Consider the following 23145-nt stretch of genomic DNA (forward strand, 5'->3'; position numbering starts at 1 on the left):
CTATAATATTTTTGGAAGATGTCTAGGGGAAAGGGGATTCCAAGTTGTCTTGGAGCACTTCCTGCTCTGGTCTCCTATCACTTTGCAATCATAAGCACCTCCCTTGCTGTTGTTTCTTTCCCTTAGGAGAGGAGGCCTGTATGCCCTAGAGGAAATTTCTGTGTGTTATAGGTTTCTCTTGGATGATTCTGCATTTTTTTTCTTTTCAGTTCACCTTGAAACTTACTTGATCAGTGTCTGCCAAGTTGATTGTCATTTATATTTTCTATACTGCCCTGCTGTCTTCCCTGATTGATTCCTGAAAAAAAGGAGGGAAAAAGCATATTGCCCTTCAGCTTTAATTTGCCTGCTGTGTTGAATCCATCCAGGATTCAACCTCTGCCTCTGCTTGCCCTGACCTCTATATTTTATCTATTTTATCCTCTAAATTAGAGTTGGTTTGGCTATTTCTTGCGTTGTTTCACCTATTTCTTTGAAAACTTTTTTTACTTGGTTTAATCTGTAGATTCGGTCTGCTGTGGGCATTCTCTCTTGATTTGGTCTAATCTGATCATATTTGTTTGCATCTATTGTATATCATTTGTAGTTTTAATTAAAGCTACTCATAGTTTCATTGTGTATGTGTTTGCTTTTTTTTTTTTTTTTTTTTTTTTTTTTTGAGACAGGGTCTCACTCCATAGCCCAGGTTGGAGTGCAATGGCATGGTCAGAGCTCACTGCTGCTGCCCACCTTTTAGGCTCAAGGAATCCTCCTGCCTTAGCCTCCCGAGTAGCTGGGACTACAGAGGTGTGCATCACCACACCCAGCTAACTTTTTATTTTTTGTAGAGATGGGGTCTCACTATGTTGCCCAGGCTGGTCATGAACTCCTGGGCTCAAGCAGTTCTCTCCCCCTGGCCTCCCAAAGTGCTGGGATTACAGGCATAAGTCACTATGCCCAGGCTCTTTTCTATTTTTATTTGTTTTTTCTATTTTTAGTTGATAACAAGACAACATGTTAACTGGATTTTGCAATAAAATAAAATACCCACTAGATATCTTTTTGGTCAATTGTTTGAATAGGAGAACTCAGAATTATGGCACAGTCTTGGGAAAATTAACTTAAAACCCTTGAAACAGTTTACTAATGTGTTTGAATCTGATGTGGATCCAGGCTCTCATTGCACTAAAAGTGTGGTTGAAGTATTGACTGCCAAGACCTCCAGTGGTAGGGAGAGAGTGGGGTTGAAATTGTGGTTTTAGGGATGGCTATTATTTGAATAAATGTTGTAGGAATTTTCCAAGCACAGAACACAGCATGAATCTCTGGTTCTTAGTTCTTCACCAATATTTCTTCACCGAGAATAGCCAGACCTCTTGGAAGGGTAGTTGAAATTGAGTGACTAGGAGAGAGAGCATCAGATCCTACAAAGAATGGTGATGACAGAGGATGGAGGGAATTGGGGTGATGGTCAAAGGGTACAAAGTCTCGGACAGGAGGAATAAGTTGTTTGGGGTTTTTTGAGATCCATTGTGCAGTGTGGTGAATATAATTAATAGTGCATTGTACATTTCAAAGTTGCTAAGAGTAAATTTCAAATATTCTCACACCCTCAAAATAAGTATTTGAGGTGATAGATATGTTAGTTAGAATGACTTAATTATTCTACACTGAACTTGGAAACTTTAATATCACTTTGTACCCCATAAATACATACAGTTATAAAGGGTCAATTTACAATAAAATAAAAAGTTTTAAAGGAAAAAGAAATTAAGAGTGAATAGAAGTGTGGAAGGATTTTTGAAAGTCAGCAAGTTTATCTTGGATTTAGGAGGGAGCCCTAGTAGTTTTTTGAACAGGGTAATGACAAGGTGAAAGCTGTATTTAAGGAAAACTTCATCTAGCACTTGATTTGGCATTTAATTTGATCTCACGGGGACTTGGTGAGTACCTGTTTGTACCAAGTATCATACTGGATACAGTAGTGCACAGAGCAGCATGGGGAAGAATTCCTGCTTCAAGAAACGCAGTCTGGTGGAGTCAAGAAACTGATTTTGAAAAATCTGCCTCAGTAAAATTTCAGTACCAGAGTTGACCTCAACTCTGGTTGTCATGGTGTCTGTTCTATGTTGCCAGTTAGGTTCTACCACAGCAGCGGTCTCTGTCTGTGATGATGTGACACAGATAACGTTGATTCTATGATTTGTATGGGACACTCTAAAGTCTGCCCTCAATCAGACTCTCATATCTCATATAAATGTAGCTGAATATTCAGCAGCAACTTTTTGAATTCCATATTTTCATGTTTGCTTCCTTCTAAGTCAGGTTTCTGTCCTCCCGGTGGCTCGGCCCTCTTCTACCCCAGTCCTGCTGCCTCCGTGTATTCAGATTACATCTGGATGATCACATCTCATATAAATGTAGCTGAATATTCAGCAGCAACTTTTTGAATTCCATATTTTCATGTTTGCTTCCTTCTAAGTCAGGTTTCTGTCCTCCCGGTGGCTCGGCCCTCTTCTACCCCAGTCCTGCTGCCTCCGTGTATTCAGATTACATCTGGATGATCTTTCCTTTTCTGACAGTGTTTTTTGTTTTTTTTGTTTGTTTGTTTGTTTTGGTTTTTATTTTCTTGAGATGAAATCTTGCTCTTGTCGCCCAGGCTGGAGTGCAGTGGCACTATCTTGGCTCACTGCAACCTCCACCTCCCAGGTTCAAGCGATTCTCCTGCCTCAGACCCCCCCGAGTAGCTGGGATTACAGGTGCGTGCCACCACACCCCGCTAATTTTTGTATTTTCAGTAGAGATGGGGTTTCACCACGTTGGCCAGGCTGGTCTCAAACTCCTGTCCTCAGGTGATCCGCCAACCTCGGCTTCCCAGAGTGCTGGGATTACAGGCATGAGCCACCACGCCCGGTCTCTGACAGTGTTTTATCCCTTGTCATGTACACTAATTATATCCTGGCACTTGGCTCTGTAGTTGTTTTTATATCAGTCTTGCCTAATCGGTTAGAATCATAGACTACTTGAAGGCATGAATAACAGCCCACATTTTATCTATTTATTTATACATCTCTCATTACTTCAAAAAATGATTTGAACATGTTTCTTTTATATGATTGTGTTTTGACCTTGGTCAAGGTGGTAGACATCTGATTAAGGAGGGTCAATAATTTATGAACTCAGAACACACAGAACAGAGGACTTTTTGTTGTTGTTTTTAATTTATGATTTATATCTCTTTGAAAGTCCGGCAAAGACACATCGTATTTCTCAAATCAACTTTAGAGAAAAACAAGAGTGTGAAGCTGAGACTCCTCCAGTCAATGAGAAAGTTTTGATACCAAACCTATTAAATGCAAATTAAATCTATTTTTCTATGAACATGTGCATATTATCTCTGAAAGTAGATGTATGCCTTAAATATAAATTTTCCTTACAATATGGATTTCTGTGATATCGGGAATCTATGTTTTATAAAGGAACAACTGCTGCAGTCCCTGTGGCTCATGATTCCTTAGCAGCTGTGTCCAGCTGGTGGTCCACATTCCCGCTACTTCTTCAGTGAATGGAAACATTTAGGTCAATATTGATATAAAACTTCATGAGCTTTCTTCTCTTTCAGCTTTGGTTCGCCTTTGTTAATGGATTTTCTGGGCAGATTTTATTTGAACGTTGGTGCATCGGCCTGTACAATGTGGTAAGCATTCTTCATCTCTATCTGATAGCATGCAGAACTTAGAACTTCAGTGACATTCCTTCACTGTTTATGTCTGGGAAGTGTATCTGAGTCAATCATCTGTATACTTAGCAGGCAGCACAAATACATCTTTGGGCCCTTTGTTGCTGTGAAACATCCTGCAGAAGCCCAAACTCTCCACACATGGTTTCAATCATAGCAGATCATTCCTGAATAACCCCTTGAAATTATTAACCCATATATCTTGATAATAGACCCTTGTTACCCCCTTACTACATGCCTGTGCAACACTTTCGTGTTTTTAGCTCAAGTACAAATTTCTGAACTACACCTAAACTCATTCCGCTTCATTATTTTTGTTCTGAATTCTTAAACATAGATACAAATGTACAGTGTGTGATCTGGTGTCCGTTCTGTCCTTCCTGAAAGGGTATCTGTCCTTGTGGAAGAACATTTTCTTCTGCAGTTAGAGCTAAAATAATGAATTCTGACTTCCAGCTACTGTGGAGGATGGTAATCAGCTCATCTGGTATTTTTTATGATTTTCAAGTTCCTTTTTTATTACTTTTTATAACTATGATGAATTCAGAAGCTAGAAATAAATATAAACTGTAGCTAAAATGGCTCAGTAGCTGCTTAGCTTTCTTGCTTTTTGTTTCACTGGCAGGAAGAACTAAGGGGCATGTAGAGCACTCTAGAGACCCTAGAATGGCCCATTTTTTGAGTTGTTCTCTCACTTGCCTTCAATCCTAACTCTGCTCCGTGGGAATTTACATTCTGAAGCAGCCATCATAAATAAATGTAGATGGAAGTTACCAGACATACAATAATAAAACCTATGGTGCTATAAATCCACTGGTGGCTAGATATTTAAGTCTTCCATGCTTTCACCCCCCTTTATTGAATAACCTCAGTGCTGGGTGCTGATGTAAAATGCTGAATGCAGTAGTTTGCCCTGGCCCTGTGTAGCTTGCAGGTTAAGAGGGTCAAATGTGTGGATTCAGACACCTCCAAGGAGGACTGGGTCCAGATCTTGAGTTGAAATTGTGTTGGTGAGTCAGTAACTGTGTTAACTTGCTGCAAAGTCACTAGCACATTTCCTCCTGATACTGATGCCCTAAAAGACAAAGATTAGGAGTGGTAAGAACAGGACAGAATTGATGTCCATTCCCTCCTGTGCTAAAAAAGCTACTCTGACTACCTACCCATGGATGGGGGCTCCAGGGCCTCCCCTTTGTGTACTAAGGGGAGATCACAGATTGCTAACTCTGTACCTCCTGAAACTATTTTAAGTAGGTTAAAGCTATGCAACCATTTCGGGGAAATATGCAGAATGCTCCACGATTATTCAGTGCTTGAAAGGGTCAGGTATCAATGGAGCTGACACTTCACACAAACACATGCCACATCCCTATTTTAGAAACAAAATGCTGAGACCTAGGAGAGATTTTGTTGTAGAGCCAAGGACAGGTGTGGTATATATATATATATATATATATATATATATATATATATATATATATATATATCACCTGCTTATAGTATGAGTGGATTTTAGCTTGATTTCTATGCTCAGGGCATGAGGGCTGGATTCTTTTCTTAGCTCCATGCAGTCTTGGCCAATTCAAATTAATCCAACAGATTTTATTGAGTGCCTACTACAGATAAGATGCTGACAGGCTAGAGGGCAGTGTTGGTCAAAATAAGGCCCACAGACCATTTGCAGGAGAATAACTAGGGTTTATTTGAAAAATGCAGATTCCTGAGCCCCACCCCAGATTAACAAAGAGAATCTCAGACATATTGCAGTTTTTGCAATTTTTTTTTTTTTTTTGAGACTGGGTCTTGTTCTGTCACCCAGGCTGGAGTGCAGTGGTGCCATCACTACTCACTGTATCCTTGACCTCCCTGGCTCAAGCAATCCTCCCACCTCAGCCTCCTTAGTAGCTGGGACCATGGGCAAATGCCACCACAGCCAGCTAATTAAAAAACATTTTTTTTGTGGAAATGGGGTCTCGCCATGTTGCCCAGATTGGTCTCAAACTCCTGGGCTCAAGCAGTCCTCCCTCCTAGGCCTCCCAAAGTGGTAGGATTATAGTCATGAGCCGCAAACTTTTCTAGTTATTGTTATGCATGACCCTAGGGTTGAGATTATATTTTATGCAGTTTTTCTGTCCCCTAAACTATACAGAGAGTACACTGTGATAGAAAAGTGTATTTCAAGGTGAAAGGGTCTAGGTTACCACTGAGTCCACAGTGCAGGCATTGAAGTGGGCTGCCAGTGAGTGCTGGCAGTTGGGATGGAATGGTCAAGGATCTGCCAGGTGAACTCCAATGTGCCACTGGGCTCTGGACTTGCTCATACTGGAGGGGCCAAACCTTCTGGGAACATGGAGATTTGCCCCCATGAAAATTGTTTTGGTGACATTTGTATAAAATAAATAGAAATATAGAGAAAAGTTACAAAAAAGGTACAAAGAACTACTATTTACCCTTCACCCAGATTGAACAGTAATTAGCATTTCCACCAATTGCATTCTCTTTCTCCATACTTGTACGCATGCACACATGCCTACACTCATGCACACACTAGTGAATGCATTTATTTCTGACCCAGTGGGGTATTACAAACATCATGTCGCTTTCCTGCTTAACACTTTAGTCAATAGTAGCAAGAGCTTCCTCTTATACAACCGAAGTATAATGATCAAATCTGAAACATTTAACATGGATTTAATACTATTATCTAATTCATCTTAATCCATATTCCAGTTTTGCTATTCTTGCTCCAATAATGCCCTATTTAGCAACTTTTCCAGTCCAGGATCATTCTAGAGACTGCCTGCAAGAGAACATTTGTGATGTGGAAGGCATTTGCTAGTGATCCTCCTCTTCTGGGCTGGGTTCTCCGCTGTCATTTTCTTCATGCAGTATTTCTCTCCTGCTTTTTCTTCTAAATGTACTCTTTGTTTGATTCCGCAAGTCAGCTAAAGTAGCAAGTCGTTGTTCCTCAAACTAATTTTCTTTTTTTTTTTTTTTTGAGATGGAGTCTAGCTCTGTTGCCCGGGCTGGAGTGCAGTGGTGCAATCTCAGCTCACTGCAAGTTCCACCTCCCGGGTTCACGCCATTCTCCTGCCTCAGCCTCCCAAGTAGCTGGGATTACAGTCGCCCGCCACCGCGCCCGGCTAATTTTTGTATTTTTAGTAGAGATGAGGTTTCACTGTGTTAGCCAGGATGGTCTCAATCTCCTGAACTCGTGTTCCACCCGCCTTGGCCTCCCAAAGTTCTGGGATTACAGGCATGAGCCACCACACTCAGCCTCTCAAACTAATTTTCATAACAAGTTAATAGCATTAAAACAGACTTGAGGCCGGGCGTGTTGGCTCACACCTATAATCCCGGCACTTTGGGAGGCTGAAGCAGGTGGATCACCTGAGGTCAAGAGTTCGAGACCAGCCTGGCCAACATGGTGAAACCTCATCCCTACTAAAAGTACAAACATTAGCTGGGCGTGACGGTGTGCACCTGTAATCCCAGCTACTTGGGAGGCTGAGACAGGAGAATTGCTTGAACCCGGGAGGCGGAGGTTGCAGTAAGCTGAGATCACACCACTGCACTCTAGCCTGGGCAACAGAGCAAGACTCTGTCTCAAAAACAACAATAACAACAAGAAACAGGCTTCTTCCTAAGTAATGAATGAATGCTGTCCCAGAAGATTTTCATTATATCCATAGTCAATTTCTTTATTTTTTTTTATTTTTTTTGAGACAGAGTTTCACTCCTGTTGCCCAGGCTGGAGTGCAATGGCGCAATCTTGGCTCACTGCAACCTCTGCCTCCCGGGTTCAAGCAATTCTCCTGCCTCAGCCTCCCGAGTAGCCAGGATTACAGGTGCGCACCACCACGCCTGGCAAATTTTCTGTATTTTTAATAGAGACGGGGTTTCACCATGGCCAGGCTGGTCTTGAACTCCTGACCTCAGGTGATCTGCCTGCCTCGGCCCCCCAGAGTGCTGGAATTACAGGCGTGAGCCACTGTGCCTGGCTCATTTTGTTTTGTGGGTAGAATGAGACTAAAAATACCACGAAGGACCAATGCTGCTAGGATCAAATGGATTTCAGCTAAATTTTATGTCTTTTATAATGCAGAGAACACTCTAGTATTATTTGACCACTTGCAGAAAATGAATCCTGTTGTCAAGCCAGCATCGTTTGAGGAAGAAAACTGTAGGCCAGTCTCACTTATAAACATAAATACAAAAATTCTACGTAAAATATTGGCAAATGGAGTCCAATAATATATTAAAAGAAAAAGTATGTGACAAAGTAAGATTTATTTTGGGGATACAGGAGTCTTGAAATTAAATATCTTTCTAAATATCACTATATCAAGAAAATAAGAAAAACATGATCCCATCAGCAGATGCTACAAAAACGTTTGAAGCAATTCAGCTGCCATTCCCAAAATAAGAACTCTAAATAAAATAGAAACAGAAAAAAGCCATTTAACCAGAATTCAGACCATTTACAAAAACCAGTAGCATGCTGCCCAAAATGGTAAAATTCTGAAACGGTTTCATTTAAAATAAGAAATTAATCAAGATGCCTGCCATCACTATATAATTCATTGTTTTCATGTTTTCGGCAACTGCAAAGAAGATTACAAATATTGGGAAAACAGTGAACAATTTCTGTACGTATACACATATGCTCACAGAAATATGGTAATGTAAATATGTTCATATATGATTGTGTATCTAGAAAACAAAAGAAAAAACAGTAGATAAATACTCGAATTATAAGAGAATTTGATAAAGTGACCAGATAAATGATAAATATATTTTTAAAATCAATAGCCTTTTTCTAGCCTAGCAATAAACAGCTTTTTTTTTTCTCTAGCAGTGGACACCTAGAAATGCAAAGGAAGTACGAATTCTTTCAAAAAAGCAATTAAAATTATACATTGCATAGGAAAAATGTTTACAGTACCTACATTTTTAAAAGTCTTATTGAACAAATGGAAAAGCATACTATTTTCTTGTATGGGAAGACTTAGTATCATAAAAGATTCAACTCTTCTAAAATTAATATAAATATATATGATTCCACATAGACTCAATCCCAACAGGTGAATGTTTTGGGAGGAAAGGGGGAAGTTGCATAAAGTTATATTAAAATATAAATGGAATTTACACATATCTGAGAATAAATATGTAAAGCATGCTCAAAAAAAGAACATAAAAGTAGACTTATTTTTACTAAATATCAGACTATACTATGAAGCCACCATAACCAAATCACTGTTATTGACAAATAAGTTGGAGATTCTAGAACTACATTCCCATTCTAGAGTCAGATGTGTAATACATGAAAATTTGATTAGCCTTAAAGGTGATCTTTCAATGTAGTGGGGAAAGTTTGGCCTCATTAATTATGTTATCACAATTGGCTCTTTATCTGGAATAAAATGGACTCCTATATAGAAAAATTAATTCCAGATATATTAAAGACTTAAATGTGGAAAATAAAATAGTAAAATCCTACAAGACACTCCTGGAAACATGTACTTTTCATGGAAGAGTAACTTCTGTAGCCGCAATTGGACATGCAGAAGCATTTCTTGGCCATTTAAATATTAAAAGCTTTTATATGGCAAAAGAACCCATTTAAAAAACCAATAGACAAAGAGTGCATTTGCATGAAATTTCATAATATAAAGACAGGGTTGATATCTGTTCTACTCAAAGAACTCTTTAAAAAGAGGATAAGCCATGGATAGAAAGTAGACAAAAGACATGAGTAGACATTTCACAGAACTGCAAATGCAGATAGCCAGCAAATGTATGAAAACCTGCTCAAACTCACTGATAGTTGGGGAATTGCAGCTTTTTAAAGTAAGAAGTAGACAAAAGACATGAGTAGACATTTCACAGAACTGCAAATCCAGATAACCAACAATTGTATGAAAACATGCTCAAACTCACTGGTAGTTGGGGAAATGCAGCTTTTTAAAGTAAGAAGTAACATCTTTAATTTTTAAGACTGGAGAACATTAAAAGACCAATGTAACAACCATTGCTGATAGGGAAATAGCGAAAAATCTATGATTTTCTTTTGCAATGGGAGAGGAAAATGCTTTCAAAATCCTTTGAAAGGCAGAATCTAGTAAAATTAAAAATGCATGTATCCTTTTAACTCTCCTGCTGGGCCTTCTTCCCATAGAGATAAAAGAAAAAGTCTGTATGTTATAATATAGTATAGATATGTATTACATAATGTTTGTGGTAACAAAGAACTGGAAAGAAAATGAATGTCTGTCAGTGGGTGAATGGCTAAAAAAAATGGCACATCCATACTATGAATTATTATGTGACCATTAAAAGACTGCATTACCATCAAACCCAAGGGCTTTGGGGGGCTTTCTGTAATGTATTGTTTAGCAAGAAAAGCATGATGAAGAAAAATGTGTGTAAAGTATAATGTCTACCTTTTTGGTTGGCAGGAGACAGGGTCTCACTCTGTGGCCCAGGCTGGAATGCAGTGGTGCAATCATAGCTCACTGCAGCCTCAACCTCCTGGGCTGGAGCAGCCCTTTCACCTCAGCTTCCCAAGTAGCTGGGACTACAGGCACACACTCTCTTGGTGTGTTCTGTGAAATTGAGACAGGGTCTTGGTGTGTTGCACAAGCTGGTCTCGAACTCCTGTCTTGGCCTCCCAAAGTGCTAGGATTGCAGGCAGGAGCTACATGACTGGCCAGTGTCAACGTTTTATGAAACAAATTATGATCCCTAACGTGTGTGTGTGTGTGTGTGTAGTATGGTATAGGCAGAGTGGAAAATATGTAGGCATGCTGGGCTTCATTATAGCATGGTGATGAAGGGCAGGGGAGAATCTGAAGATGGGTAGAAGGAGAAGCTCAAGTTTAAAAAAAGAAAAAGACTGCCACGTAAACAGCAGGCATGACATCACATGTACACATGGATGCAGAGCAATGGAGGTGAGAGTATGTACTAAGAAAGTGTGCATGGCTCCTGGCTTCTGGTAGAAGCTCTGTCCAGCTATAAAACAAACAATTTTTGTTGTTGTGAGGAAAGTGAGTGCAACAAGTCCCCTGTGGATTTCTCCTTGAAGTCTTTGTAGCACATTGAAATCCCAGGGCTGCTTTCCATTCTGCTGTGGACTGAAGGAAGAGTGTGAGAGTTTTACTGACTCTACTCACCACACATCTGATTGCCTGCTCCCAATAGACTTGGGAACAGCTTCCTCTGGCCATATACTCCATCTCCAAATAGCTAGTGTGAGTTCAGAATTCTCGTACAGACACACGTCCAATTCCCACAGGCCTGAGAGCTTGCTGGGTTTGTGGGTGGGGATTTGAGGGACGCTCAGCAGCAAGTGACCCAGGCTGTGTGAACCATTCCCAGAACCAAGCAGGAGAAGGACCCTCAGGGCCAACATGTCCTGAGTTAAAATGACATGTTTCTTCCAAGCACCTTCTTCAGCTCCTGCTTGATTTTTCTAATATACAAATGTGAGTACAGGTGAAAGTCACAAGTCTTGCAAGGCACCATCTGCCCAAGAACTCATTGTCACTGGAGATTGTTTGGTCTGGTCTCCTTCCTATCCTTGCCTTACACCGCACCCTCAGCCAGCCACCATCCTGTGTATCTTAGAAAGTTCCTCGTCCTTTAAATGACAACAATTTAAAGATCGAATTGGCTTTTATTAGCCATTCTGGAATTGGGTAACATCTCATTTCATGAAACAGAATGAGTGCTCCGATGAGCTGAGCAGAGGAGGCCAGCTTTATAGGCAGAAAGGGACTAAGGAAACAGAAGTAGAACAAAAAGTGATTGGTTGTTTCAAAGTGGCTTTCTTTACAGAGTTCAAACAGGGGACTTCTGTATCATGCTGCCTCAGGTAAACTGGGCCCTTTCTGGTGCCTAGGTAAACTGGTTGCTGTGAATCTCCTGTTTTTTGTTTGTTTGTTTGTTTGTTTGTTTGTTTGTTTGTTTTTGGAAAACTGGCCTGTTTCAAAGTTTAGTTTGATGACACAGCTCTTAGCACAAGTAACTCCATTTTGGTTTGGTCAGGTCTGCTGGGGCCGAGTGCAGGAGCTCAGTCCAAACAGTGGCCTCCTATAAACGTTGTTCAACACCTCCAAACAGGCATGCTGATGTCTCAGAGCTTTGTAAGGGGTGCATCTCTCATGGGACTCCTTCCTCGCCCACATCCCTGTCATCTTGCCAAATCATGTTGGTCTAATACCTTGCAGGTCAGATACTCTTTGGTGCAAGAATCCTTTGGTGACTCTCCCTTCTCCTTCTGCGTCCTCCCCTAACAGGTATTAATAGTTTTGCAGAGCTCCGCGTTTTGTATATTTACCTCTATGCCTGTTGCCCCACTGCCCTCCTCCACTTCTGCAGTAGATGGCGTTCCTGGAGGTCCTAATTCCTTTCCTTCTTTCTTCTGTTTGTAAATCTCTCCATTCCTGGTGCTTATCACAGTATCTAGCCCATAATTTGTTTATTGTAAATGTCTGTTGAATGAATAAATGGATGAAGTACATTATGCTTCCTGAAATTTGAGTATAACGTCAGGGTGGAAAGTTGTAAATTTTACGTCAGCTAGCGTGAGCAGAAAACAAAGCAACACTTCAGACAGCTAACTGTGGCATGATTCCACATCAGTCTTCGTTTTACAAAGGAAGGTAGTTGCTAATTTAACAAGAAATCTTGGCTAATCAGATAATGTATGATGTTTTTAGTGTTCAGTGTATTCATTTGATAGTGATTAACGTAAAAATGGTCTTTCATTTATTTCCTTTGTTTGGAGGGTGTCTGGGGATCTGTGAATCATGGAGTCTCAGGTTTGGACTTGACTGGAAGTGAAGTCATCATTTGGTAGAAGGGAACAATGAAGCCGTGTGGATCCGAAGGGCTGCTTTTAATGGCTCATTGTTCTCCCTGCAGATTTTCACCGCTTTGCCGCCCTTCACTCTGGGAATCTTTGAGAGGTCTTGCACTCAGGAGAGCATGCTCAGGTTTCCCCAGCTCTACAAAATCACCCAGAATGGCGAAGGCTTCAACACAAAGGTAAACAGAGTGTGATCTCAGAACTGTCACCTCAGAAAGGCGTGGCTGTTTGATTCTAGTCATCTGCCTAGGAGATAGTTGAAGCTTGAGAAAGAACATTTGAGAAGTGCTGAAAACATGATCCACTCACCCCACCACCACACACACACACACACACACACACACACACACACACACACACACACGCCACAAACCCAGTGAATTCAAGACGCCTTCTCAGGTGACGGGTCCATGCTGTGTGGGCTGCAACCTCCAGTCCCAGCATGCTGACTCCTTCCCGCTTCTCCCCGTCAGCCCCTGACATCAGTGTGGGCAGCAGTTCCCACAGCCCAGGTTCAGGATCCGCTGTCAGAGATCCCCCTTGCGTGGTCCTGCAGCCCCATGTGGAGGCCTGTTGGCAGCTTACCTAGCTGTTGCTGGGTTTGTCATTTGAAATAAAATGTGTCTTTAGCTAGTGCGTAAAATTGACTAGATATGAACTCAGGGATCACATGAGTTGCAGGGGATTTGGTTTTGTTTTTCTGGACCAGAGAATCAGAAAGGAACCAAAAAAAAATAAAAAAAAGAAAGATATAGGTGATCCTGACAAACCCGCGCCAAAGCTGGGTGGGGTGTTAAAGGGGTCGTGCAGTCTCAGACAGCAGAGGGGTCTGCCACACAGATGTCATTTGCGGCTGAATGTGGCAGAGTGCTTGGGTGACCCCATCCAAAGAAAAGGGAGATGTGTGCCTGGGCACAGAGGGGCGAGATGTGAGCATGGCTGCACGGCCTTGTTTCTGCCTCTGGTCTTTGCGCAGGGGGGATTCAGAAGTTTAGACAGAGGTCTGTTGCACAGTTCACCTCCTGTGCTGTGTGCTGGTGGCGGTCATGATTTGCGTGCATGGTTCCTGGGCCGTCAGTGAGAAGGACACAGGGAGTCACCTCTCCAGGCCTCAAGGAGAGAACAGTCTCCCAGGGCCTTTCTTCTGAGCCAGATGTTCCTGACGTCCCTTACAGCTGCTTTTTTCTGGGGAGGCTCACTAGTTACATCCGAGGCAGGGAAGAAACAGAAGGGCTCCTTATTGGTTCTACCGTCTCCCACATCCAAAGAGACCCGAGGGACTCATTTTACCAATCCTTGTTGACTGTGATTCCGTTAATGGGAAAATATGACCCATTTTCACTGCATTATTTACATAAATCCATTTTCTACAGAATTTGAATTCAAAGGCCATTTGAGGTGGGAAGTAAGTAAGAGCTGAGAATGCACGGAAACTTATCTGCAGGCACTTTGAAGAATTTTTTTTTTTTTTTTAAGTAGAGAGGTCAGAGATGGTGCAAAATGAACATTTAAAGCAGGGGAAAATTCCATTGTCTTATAACATTTTTCACTATTTTCTGTTGTCTTACCACTACTTAGGCTCAAACTATATGATAATTTCCAGGGACAACTTGTAGAGGTTTAAATAAATTTAATCTGGCTTTAATAGTTAATAACTCGAGGGGGGCAGCCAAGATGGCCGAATAGGAATAGCTCTGGTCTACAGCTCCCAGCGTGAGCAACGCAGAAGACAGGTGATTTCTAATAGTTAATAACTCTGTCATCACGGTGGTTAAAACAATGATTGCGATGTATTAGTGAAACTAAAGTTTAGAATAAACTAAACCTTGTGTTCTTTTTTCTGACCTTTAAACATTAAAATAAAGAGAATTTTCAAATATGCATGTTATCTAAAATCCCAAAAATAAAAGAAGAAGTTGAGTGAGAGGGATTTGAAGTAGTAAAACAAAAGAGTGAGAATGCCATGTAAAAAGTTACAAGTGGAATGTTTTCAGTGCTTTTAAGACATCCCATCTGCCCCGACACAGTTTAATTGTTAAGAAGAGACACAGTTTTAGTCTCTTCTTAACAATTTTGACCTAGTACCCTTTTTCTGGATGTTTGTAAAATGGTGTTGTCTCTCTTACAATGCTAAAGAAAACTGATCAGAGTGAATTTTTCACATGTGGATAGATTGTGTTGGTCTGCATACATGTGAGTAGATATTTAGGTCTTTGTAACTAAAGTAATATGATCTGGAGATAATCCAGTCATTTGTATGTAAAAATTAAATAATCGATTTGGGTGGGTTTTTTTTTTTTCAAATTCAAGAATAATATGCTACTCCTGGAACCGTGCAGCGCACGGCCAGGATCCTTCACAATGTGGCGTTTGTTGAGAGTTTCACAGAGGTCAAGCGTTTTGGGCAGCTCCTGACTCCCTTGGTTTGTTTTTCCTTAGGTTTTCTGGGGTCACTGCATCAACGCCTTGGTCCACTCCCTCATCCTCTTCTGGTTTCCCATGAAAGCTCTGGAGCATGGTAAGGGCTGTGTGATTTCACCTGTCAGCAAGGAGCTTTGCAGCCGCTCTGCTGCCTGTGTGTTCACAATTTTTTTTTCCAGTTCTGCAGAACAAGAGATCACAGGAACACATTTTAGAGGAAAAACATACCTAAAGCATAATGAGAGCTAGTCCCAGGTTTATAGCTGTTAGGTTTCATCAGTTCTGGCCTTGAGAACCCATTTTCTTTCCAGTTGACTGGATAGTTTGAGTACTAGGAATACTCAACTCAGTTTTAAAAACTATTTGAGTCAGAGATCTTCAAGGAAAGCCCTGTACTGTAATGAAATGTTGATGCTTTTTGTCCGTGGTTTGAAATTCTCTTTTAATTACTTTGACTTTTATTTCTGAGCCTCCCCTACCCATATGCAGAATAACTCAAATCTTATAAGATTTGAATCTTATTCCTAGCTTTCTGAAAGAGTGTCCTGTCCTTGATGTACGCCTTTTGAAATTAGAGTTTGAGAACTAATTCTCCAGATTGGTGTTTGTCTTTACAGCTAGAAGAGGATGTCTGAGAACTGTGGCAGACTCGGCGTTTTTTCACACTTCTTAACACATCCAGAACGTGGCCTCCTAAAGAGACATATTTTTATTCTCAGAAAATACAAATGTATCATGAGAATGCTACTCTTTCATCCCTCTCAAATAGTAATAATCCCCCTGGGAAAAATTACTCCAAATGTTGACTAGACAAGGCCCTTTATTGTTCAAAGAACCAAAGAATATAAAGTTTCCAAGCGTCTTTGTTTCTGTGTCAGTGAGTTTTATGCTTCAAACAGAAATGATTCATCCTCACTGATATTCTTTAACCTATTAAATACTGACAGAGAAAATGCATGCACTGCCATTTTCTTATGCCACGTGATATAGTCTTTCAATTTCATCAGAACTCCTTTTCCTTCGAGGGTTCATAAGTCTTTAAATCAGAGAATACAATTTTATGCTTTCTAGCCCCACCCCAAAAAAGAGCATTCCAGTGAAATCATTTTCTTTTAACTTGAAACCCTTCTTGTGATTCATCTTTACTCAGTGGATTTAATTTATTTTAAAATGGTTTTATAAATAAGAGTGTATACGTATAAGAGTTTGGGATGTGATTTTGTTTCAGAGGCTGTGATATTTTGGTGACAGACTCAGCCATCATTGTAGCAGGAAGGATTAGTGATGGGAAATGGTATGTCTGATGAGCATAAGAGAAATTTGAGCAATTATCCTCCATACCTGAGCCCAGGCTTTGGTACTTAAGAAGAGTCTGCAAATAGCATGAACTAGCCACAAGTACTCTCTGAAGACCCCTTACCACTTCTTATCTAGACATCCTACTGTGTTCCTAACTCAGAATTGCTTGCCTTTTGACTCTCAGAAGCTTTACAAGATGGTCATTTACTTACCTGCTTCAAAAGGAACTAGTGTGGCTGTTCTGCAGTGGAGACGATGGTTTTCTAATCCTGGAATTATGATCATATACGTTCAGTTGGTGCCTTGTGGTTTGTGGTGAAATTGCTATAGTTTAACCAGATTCCATTATGTAAGTCCATTCATTCACCTACCATGGTCAGTATTTAAAAGGATGTAGACTCCCAGCAGTTGCTAACTTACCTAAGAGACAGCACCAAATGAATTTTAAATTAGTGCTATCCTTATCTAATTCCTCCAAATTTGGCAAATTACCTGGCAGGCAGCCAATAGGATGCTTTTTTCCTCTTTTTATTATCACCATCATCATCAATGTCATTATTTCATTGTATTTATTGAGCCTTCAGCATAGGGGTTTTCTTTGAGTTGTGTTGCAAACAATAATCTATTGAGTGAAACTGTGTAAAGTGAAGTAAATTGCAAATATTAAGTGTATCAGAACAACAGAGGGACATTGGTGTTCTTGGTCATTAGTTGACTTCCCCTAACAAATTGAATATTTTATAATTAATTTCTAAATTCTCACTGTTAGTACAGAGAAAAAAATCATTATATTATTGTTCATTAACCTTATTCCTGTTATGTTCAAGACACTGTGGTAGATTCTAAGGGTGACAGTAGATATATCAATGTCGGTCTCACCTTCAAAGAGTTTGTAGTATGGAAAGGGAGATTAGATTTTGTCTTAGTCCATTTTGTGCTGCTATAAGAGCACCATAGACTGGGTAATTTATAGTGAACAGAAATGTATTTGGCTCATGATTCTGGAGGCTGGGAAGTCCCAGGTCAGGGAGCTGGCTTCTTGTTAGGACCTACTTGATGTGTCATCCCATGGTGGAAGGATATGGGGTAGAGAGAGAAGGAAGGAACCCATGCCAGTGACAACAGCATTAATTTATTCATGAGGGTGGCGCCCCCATGACCCAAACACCTCCTATCAGGCCACAGCTCCCAGCACCACTGCATTGGAGATCAAACTTTCAACACATGAGCTTTGCGGGCTGCATTCAAACCAGAGCAGATTTGCAAATGAATAACTCCAGTACAAGGTAAAAAATAGCTGTTTCAAGTAAACCATAGATAAAATGCTATTAGATATCAGAGGACTGAGAGATGCCTTTCATTTGGAGTTATTAATAGCTTCCTAGGGGAGGTAATATTTAAGTTTAGCCATGAAATCCAGCAGAAGGAAGAATCAAGCAAAGTGGGGAAATCAGGACAGGTGTGGAAAACTGAGCAGCTGAAAGGTGAAAGATGGGGAAATTTAGGAAGGCAGATAAAAGCTGAATTACAGAGGGCTTTGAGTATGAGGTTAAGAAACTGGGATGTGGCTGGGCGTGGTGTCTCACGCCTATAATCCCAAAACTTTGGGAGGCAGAGGTGGGTGGATCACCTGACATCAGTTCGAGACCAGCCTGGCCAACATGGTAAAACCCCGTCTCTACTAAAAATACTAAAATTAGCTGGGTGTGGTGGCAGGCACCTATAATCCCAGCTACATGGGAGGCTGAGGCAGCAGAATCGCTTGAACCCGGGAGGTGGAGGTTGCAGTGAGCCAAGATCGTGCCACTGCACTCCAGCCTGGGCCAAAAAGCAAAACTCTGTCAAAAAAAAAAAGAAAGAAAGAAAAAGAAAAGAAAAGGAAAGAAGGAAGGAAGGAAGGGAGGGAAAGGAAGAAGGAAGGAAGGAAGGAAGGTTGGAAGGAAAGAAGGAGGGAAAAAGAAGAAAGAAGGAAAGAAACTGGGACTTAACTGTTTAGGCATTGAAGGGTCAGTGTAGAATTTAGATCTAGAATTTTATGATCAGGGCAATTTGGGAAAATAAACCTGTCATGTCTTGTAAGGTGAGCGGTAGAAAGAAAACTACTGGCAGAGATTCCAGGGGACAGCTTAGGGAGGGTTAAACCCAGGAATGGGATAGTGTTTGGAGAGGGTGTTTTGAAAGGAGCTTCTTTGTTTGCTGAGATTGTGGTGTATCTACAAGGTAAGAGGCTCTCTGAGGGCACAGTGAATATAGATATCAGCAAGCCAGGCACTGCCTCTCCTGCCCTCTGGAGGCTTCCCTCTTGAAAGAGGAGTAGGGGGTGGTCACATGGGACAAGGGAGATGTGGGGCATGGTTGGGAGAAGGAACATTCCTGGCCAGGACCTTGCAGGTGCACAGGACCTGAGCTGCTGAGGCCATAGGAAGTGTTTTAGTGGGACTGGGGGTGCCTGGACTCTGAACTCTGTCAGCCTCTGGTGAGAGGCTCGGGACACTGGGCATTCCTGCCCCAGACTGGAAAAAACAGTAACCTCCTACTGTAATCTGACTGCTCATGCCCCCCCCGCCCAATTCATATGTCAAAACCTCAAACTGTAAGGTGATGGTATACAACATAGGGCCTCTGGGAGGTGATTAGGTCGTGAGGGCGGATCTCTCAGGAATGGGATTAGTGTACCTATAAAAAGGACCCTAGAGAGCTCATTTGCCCCTTCCACTATGTGGGAATATAGCTAGAAGACATCACCTATGAGGAATGGGCCCTCACCTGACACCACAACTGCCACTTCCTTGATCTTGGACTTCGCAGGCTCCAGAACTATAAGAAATGAATTTCCAGGGGTTATAATCCATGCAGTTTATAGTATTTTGTTATAGTCAGCCGAAAGAACTAAGACACTCCCTCTCCTCCTTTCCCTATCCTTCTGGAAGTATCAATCAAAACACATCTCTACATATTTCTAGCATCCCCCTTGTAGTGGACAACCACCCCTAGTCAAGACGACTACAGCATAGAGAGGAGGTAGGGGCTGGAAAAGGGAACAAATACTTGAGAGAGGATCTGATCACTAACACCTGGCGGAGGGGGGGACTTTTTCTCAGGGCAGGGTTGGAGGTAGGAGAGTTTTGTGATGAGATTTGCCTGTAAAGAAGATTAAGACTGCTCTGTAGAGAAACACATAGGATCTGGCAAGAGTATGCCAGGACCATGCGGTTGCACAGGACCTGAGCCACTGAGGCCATGGGAATTATTTTAGTGGGACTGGGGGTGGCAGGGATTTTTTTGGTAGGGATGGGAGTGGCAGGGATAAAGACTGTAAGCACCAGAGGACCAGGATATGTCAGCTGACTGGAGGACTTGTTTATGTGTGCTGATTTGCTGTCCTGAGTACAAGTGAATTCTTATTACACTTTTTTTTTTTTGAGACAGAGTCCCATTCTGTCTCCCAGGCTGGAGTGCAGGAGCACGATCTCGGCTCACTGAAATCTCCACCTCCCATGTTCAAGTGATTCTCCTGCCTCAGCCTCCTGAGTAGCTGGAATTACAGGCTCATGCCACCATGCCCGGCTAATTTTTGTATTTTTAGTAGAGATGGGGTTTCACCCTGTTGGCCAGGCTGGTCTCGAACTCCTGACCTCGTGATCTGCCCACCTCGGCTTCCCAAAGGGCTGGGATTACAGGTGTGAGCCAATGCACCTGGCCTTATTACACTCTTAATTGTCATTTAGGAGAATGTATATCCTCCCCACCCCCAAAGAGGCATAGGAACATGGCACCAATTTGAGACAAACTAGGGCACTGTCAAAGCTGGGGGCCCTTGGTCTAACAGAGGGGTGCCTTCAGGACTCTCCCCTCCTGCAAGAGCTGCCTGAAGCCATCCCTCAGATGGCCACCCACACCCAGAGCCCCAGAGGAGTTTTGTTTGACCGGGGGCTGAAGTCCCTAGAGTAGTTTCATTTCCCACTTGATACCTTATGGATGATGTCACAAAGACAGGAGGTTTTACTAGAAAATTCTGCCTCCACCATCTATGGAGAGAACCTCAGGTATATATCAACAGTGTTCACTTTGGGCAAGGCAACAGAAGCACACTTCTTCTTGGGAAGAAATATTTTGAGAAGGTATATCGTTCATTCCCTAGAATGCTTCCAAGAATTTTGCTTTGCTTATTTTCATGTGGTTTTGGAGAGACTTTTCAAAGCACTCCTTTGCTGATGGAGTTTGTGATGATTCATTTCAAATTTCAAAATAAATTTTTCCACTCAAGCAATTCAGTAAATCAGATTTCTTCCAACCATCACAGCCATACACTTACTGCCATGGTCTGCCTGCAGCTCCTCGCCTTTGATCTGGAAAGCGATGCTAGGTTAGACCTAGGATGTCACCTTCACAGGGACCCAAGTCCATCAGGAGCCCTGGTGTCAGCCCACACCCGGGTTTCCTGTTGGCATGTCCAGTCGGCAGAGTTGAGCAACCCTCCTTGAAGTGTAATGTGGTTATTGGCAAAATAATACAAAATCGGTCTTGATTTTAAAAAAGGAAGTATTCAGATTTTTCTTGATGAAATTTAAGAGGGAGGTGATGGGAAAGAGACTATGCTTAACAAAAGAAAAGAGCTCCTAAAAACATTTGTTCTTGATTCCCCAGAGTCCACACCGTAGAAACTGCTCCCTCACCGTTTAAGGAGAATACCATACGGATTCTTATGTATGGGTACTAATTACGCAACTGGGCCTTTCGACATTTTTGGAGAAGTCTATTTTATAATTTTTAATAAATTTGCTCCTGTAAGATCAGCCATGTTTTGTATACTGAAATAGTAGTGCACGTGTATAAAATAAAACTCAGTGTGACTCTCTTTTCCCCTGGCATTCTTGGGTCATATTAGTTTAAACTATTTCTGACCCTTACTTTATTACTGAAAACTTGAGTGTTTCATACCATATAAATCCTGAGACTTGCGTTGTTTCACATTAAGCTAAATTTGGGCAAGATTGCCAGTGTTCTCTGAGACTGCAACTTCTTAAACTCAATTATTCACTCATTTTTGTAAAAAGATAAAAGAGTGGCTGGGCACGGTGGCTCATGCCTGTAATCCCAGCACTTTGGGAGGCCGAGGCAGGCAGATCACCTGAGGTCAGGAGTTCAAGACCAGCCTGACCAACATGGTGAAACCCCATCTCTACTAAAAATACAAAAATTGGCTGGGCTTGGTGGCGCATGCCTGTAACCCCAGCTACTTGGGAGGCTGAGGCAGGAGAATTGCTTGAACTGGGAGGCAGAGGTTGCAGTGAGCCGAGATCGTGCCATTGCACTCCAGCCTGGGTGACAAGAGCGAAACTCAGTCCCAAAACAAAACAAAAAAAAAGATTAAAGAATATGTTCTCTATGCCAGGCTCCTCCTGTGTTCTGGGGACACAGTAGTGCGTTAATAGAGGAGTTCCCACCCTCATGGAACTGACACCTAGAGAAGGCAGGATTTGAACAGGAAATGTTAGCAAAGTAGAAGGTCAAGTTCAGATGGGATGTCTTCCAGGGAAAACTAACCTGGGCTGAGCTTTAAGGACTGCTTCCTGGAGGATGTGGCAGCAGAGTTGAAGGATGAGTCGGAATGAGGTAGGAGAAGAGGAGAGAGAGGAAAGAGTTTCAGGTTGCAGGAATAGAATAGTTCCAAGAGAAAGATGACATGAAGCAGTTGGGGGGAGATATTGCGGGGCAGATTGTGAGACACAGATTGCCTTGGGATGGTGAGAGTGGAGATAGAGAAGTCAGACCTTTCCAGGCCTTTTGGAATAAATGAGCCTTTTGGAGGATAAGTGTAATAAGGCCATTGGCAGGTTTTAAGCAGGGAGCTGTGCAGTCTGATTTATTGTAATATAACCACACAGGCCAGGATAATGATTGGAGTCCTGTTCCTGGGCTGTTGCTGATCTAATGTAGCAATCATGGCACTTGAGAAAAGTGGATGGGTTGGAGGCAAAGCTAGAAGGACTCAGTATTGCATTAATTAATAATCCCCTTCTCCACCTGGTTGCACAATGTCCTAAACCCGCCAGGAGAATGTGCTAATGCAGTCATAAAGAGCAACAAAATACCATATTTTACAGTAAGGTATGTGAAACAATACACTGACATTTTGTTCCCCCATAAAAGTCACCAACAGTGCTATGTGCAGCATGGAAAAGATCTAAAATAAATTTAAAAGATTCAGAGTCAAGCATTAAATGCTAAATGGGAGAGGAAAAGAGGGTAGTAACTCCATGTGGCCTCTGCCATCTGGGAAGACCTGCAGGGAGGACAGAGTGTGGTGGAAGTTCATAAAATCCTGAAGTTAGTGGAACTTGCTCCCTAAGACCTAGAAACACAGAACATTCTGGGAGTCTTTCAGATTTGTACAAATGAAACTAAAACTCATAAATCTGCATAACTGGTTACTAACCCGATCATAGTACATTGAAAATATAAACAGGTTTCCAAATTCAAATGCAAGATTTTTGTTTCTGTTTTGTTTTAAACCGCAGTTATGAACTGCGGTAAAGCTCTGACTTTAGCTGTTTTCCTGTATTGTGACAGTGCACCTCACACATCCTGAAACCCAGAATTGGGCTGGAAGGGCCATTGTTTTCATTCAGTTAAATATTTCTTATGTTTCAATGTCTCTTTTAATAAACTCTGTGTTGCGCGTATTTTAGACAGTTGGGTTTGGTGTAATGTTGTAAGAAGTGTGAGCCAGAGTTCCTAGATTTCACCCTTAGCAGGAAGTTGAATCAAGATGGATTAGCCAGGGAATCTCAGGGGCTTAACCCAGTAAAGAGTTATTTCTCACCCATGTCCC

At 41.7% G+C, this 23145-nt stretch overlaps 1 protein-coding gene across 10 annotated transcripts in view; it reads left to right on the top strand.

Annotated features, from left to right (window-relative positions):
* Window positions 1–23145, top strand: part of ATP8A2 (ATPase phospholipid transporting 8A2) — a 653878-nt gene that overhangs the window by 452543 nt on the left and 178190 nt on the right. For 8 of the 10 annotated variants that reach the window (NM_016529.6, NM_001411006.1, XM_011535107.4 and 5 more), the window contains 3 exons: window positions 3602–3676; window positions 12647–12769; window positions 15030–15108. In NM_016529.6, the coding sequence (NP_057613.4) occupies window positions 3602–3676; window positions 12647–12769; window positions 15030–15108 (277 nt within the window). The remainder of the gene's footprint in view (window positions 1–3601; window positions 3677–12646; window positions 12770–15029; window positions 15109–23145) is intronic. The other 2 variants (NM_001411005.1, NM_001313741.1) reach the window with 1 other exon arrangement.

Source organism: Homo sapiens, chromosome 13 (assembly GCF_000001405.40).
Source record: "Homo sapiens chromosome 13, GRCh38.p14 Primary Assembly".
Lineage (NCBI taxonomy): Eukaryota > Metazoa > Chordata > Mammalia > Primates > Hominidae > Homo > Homo sapiens.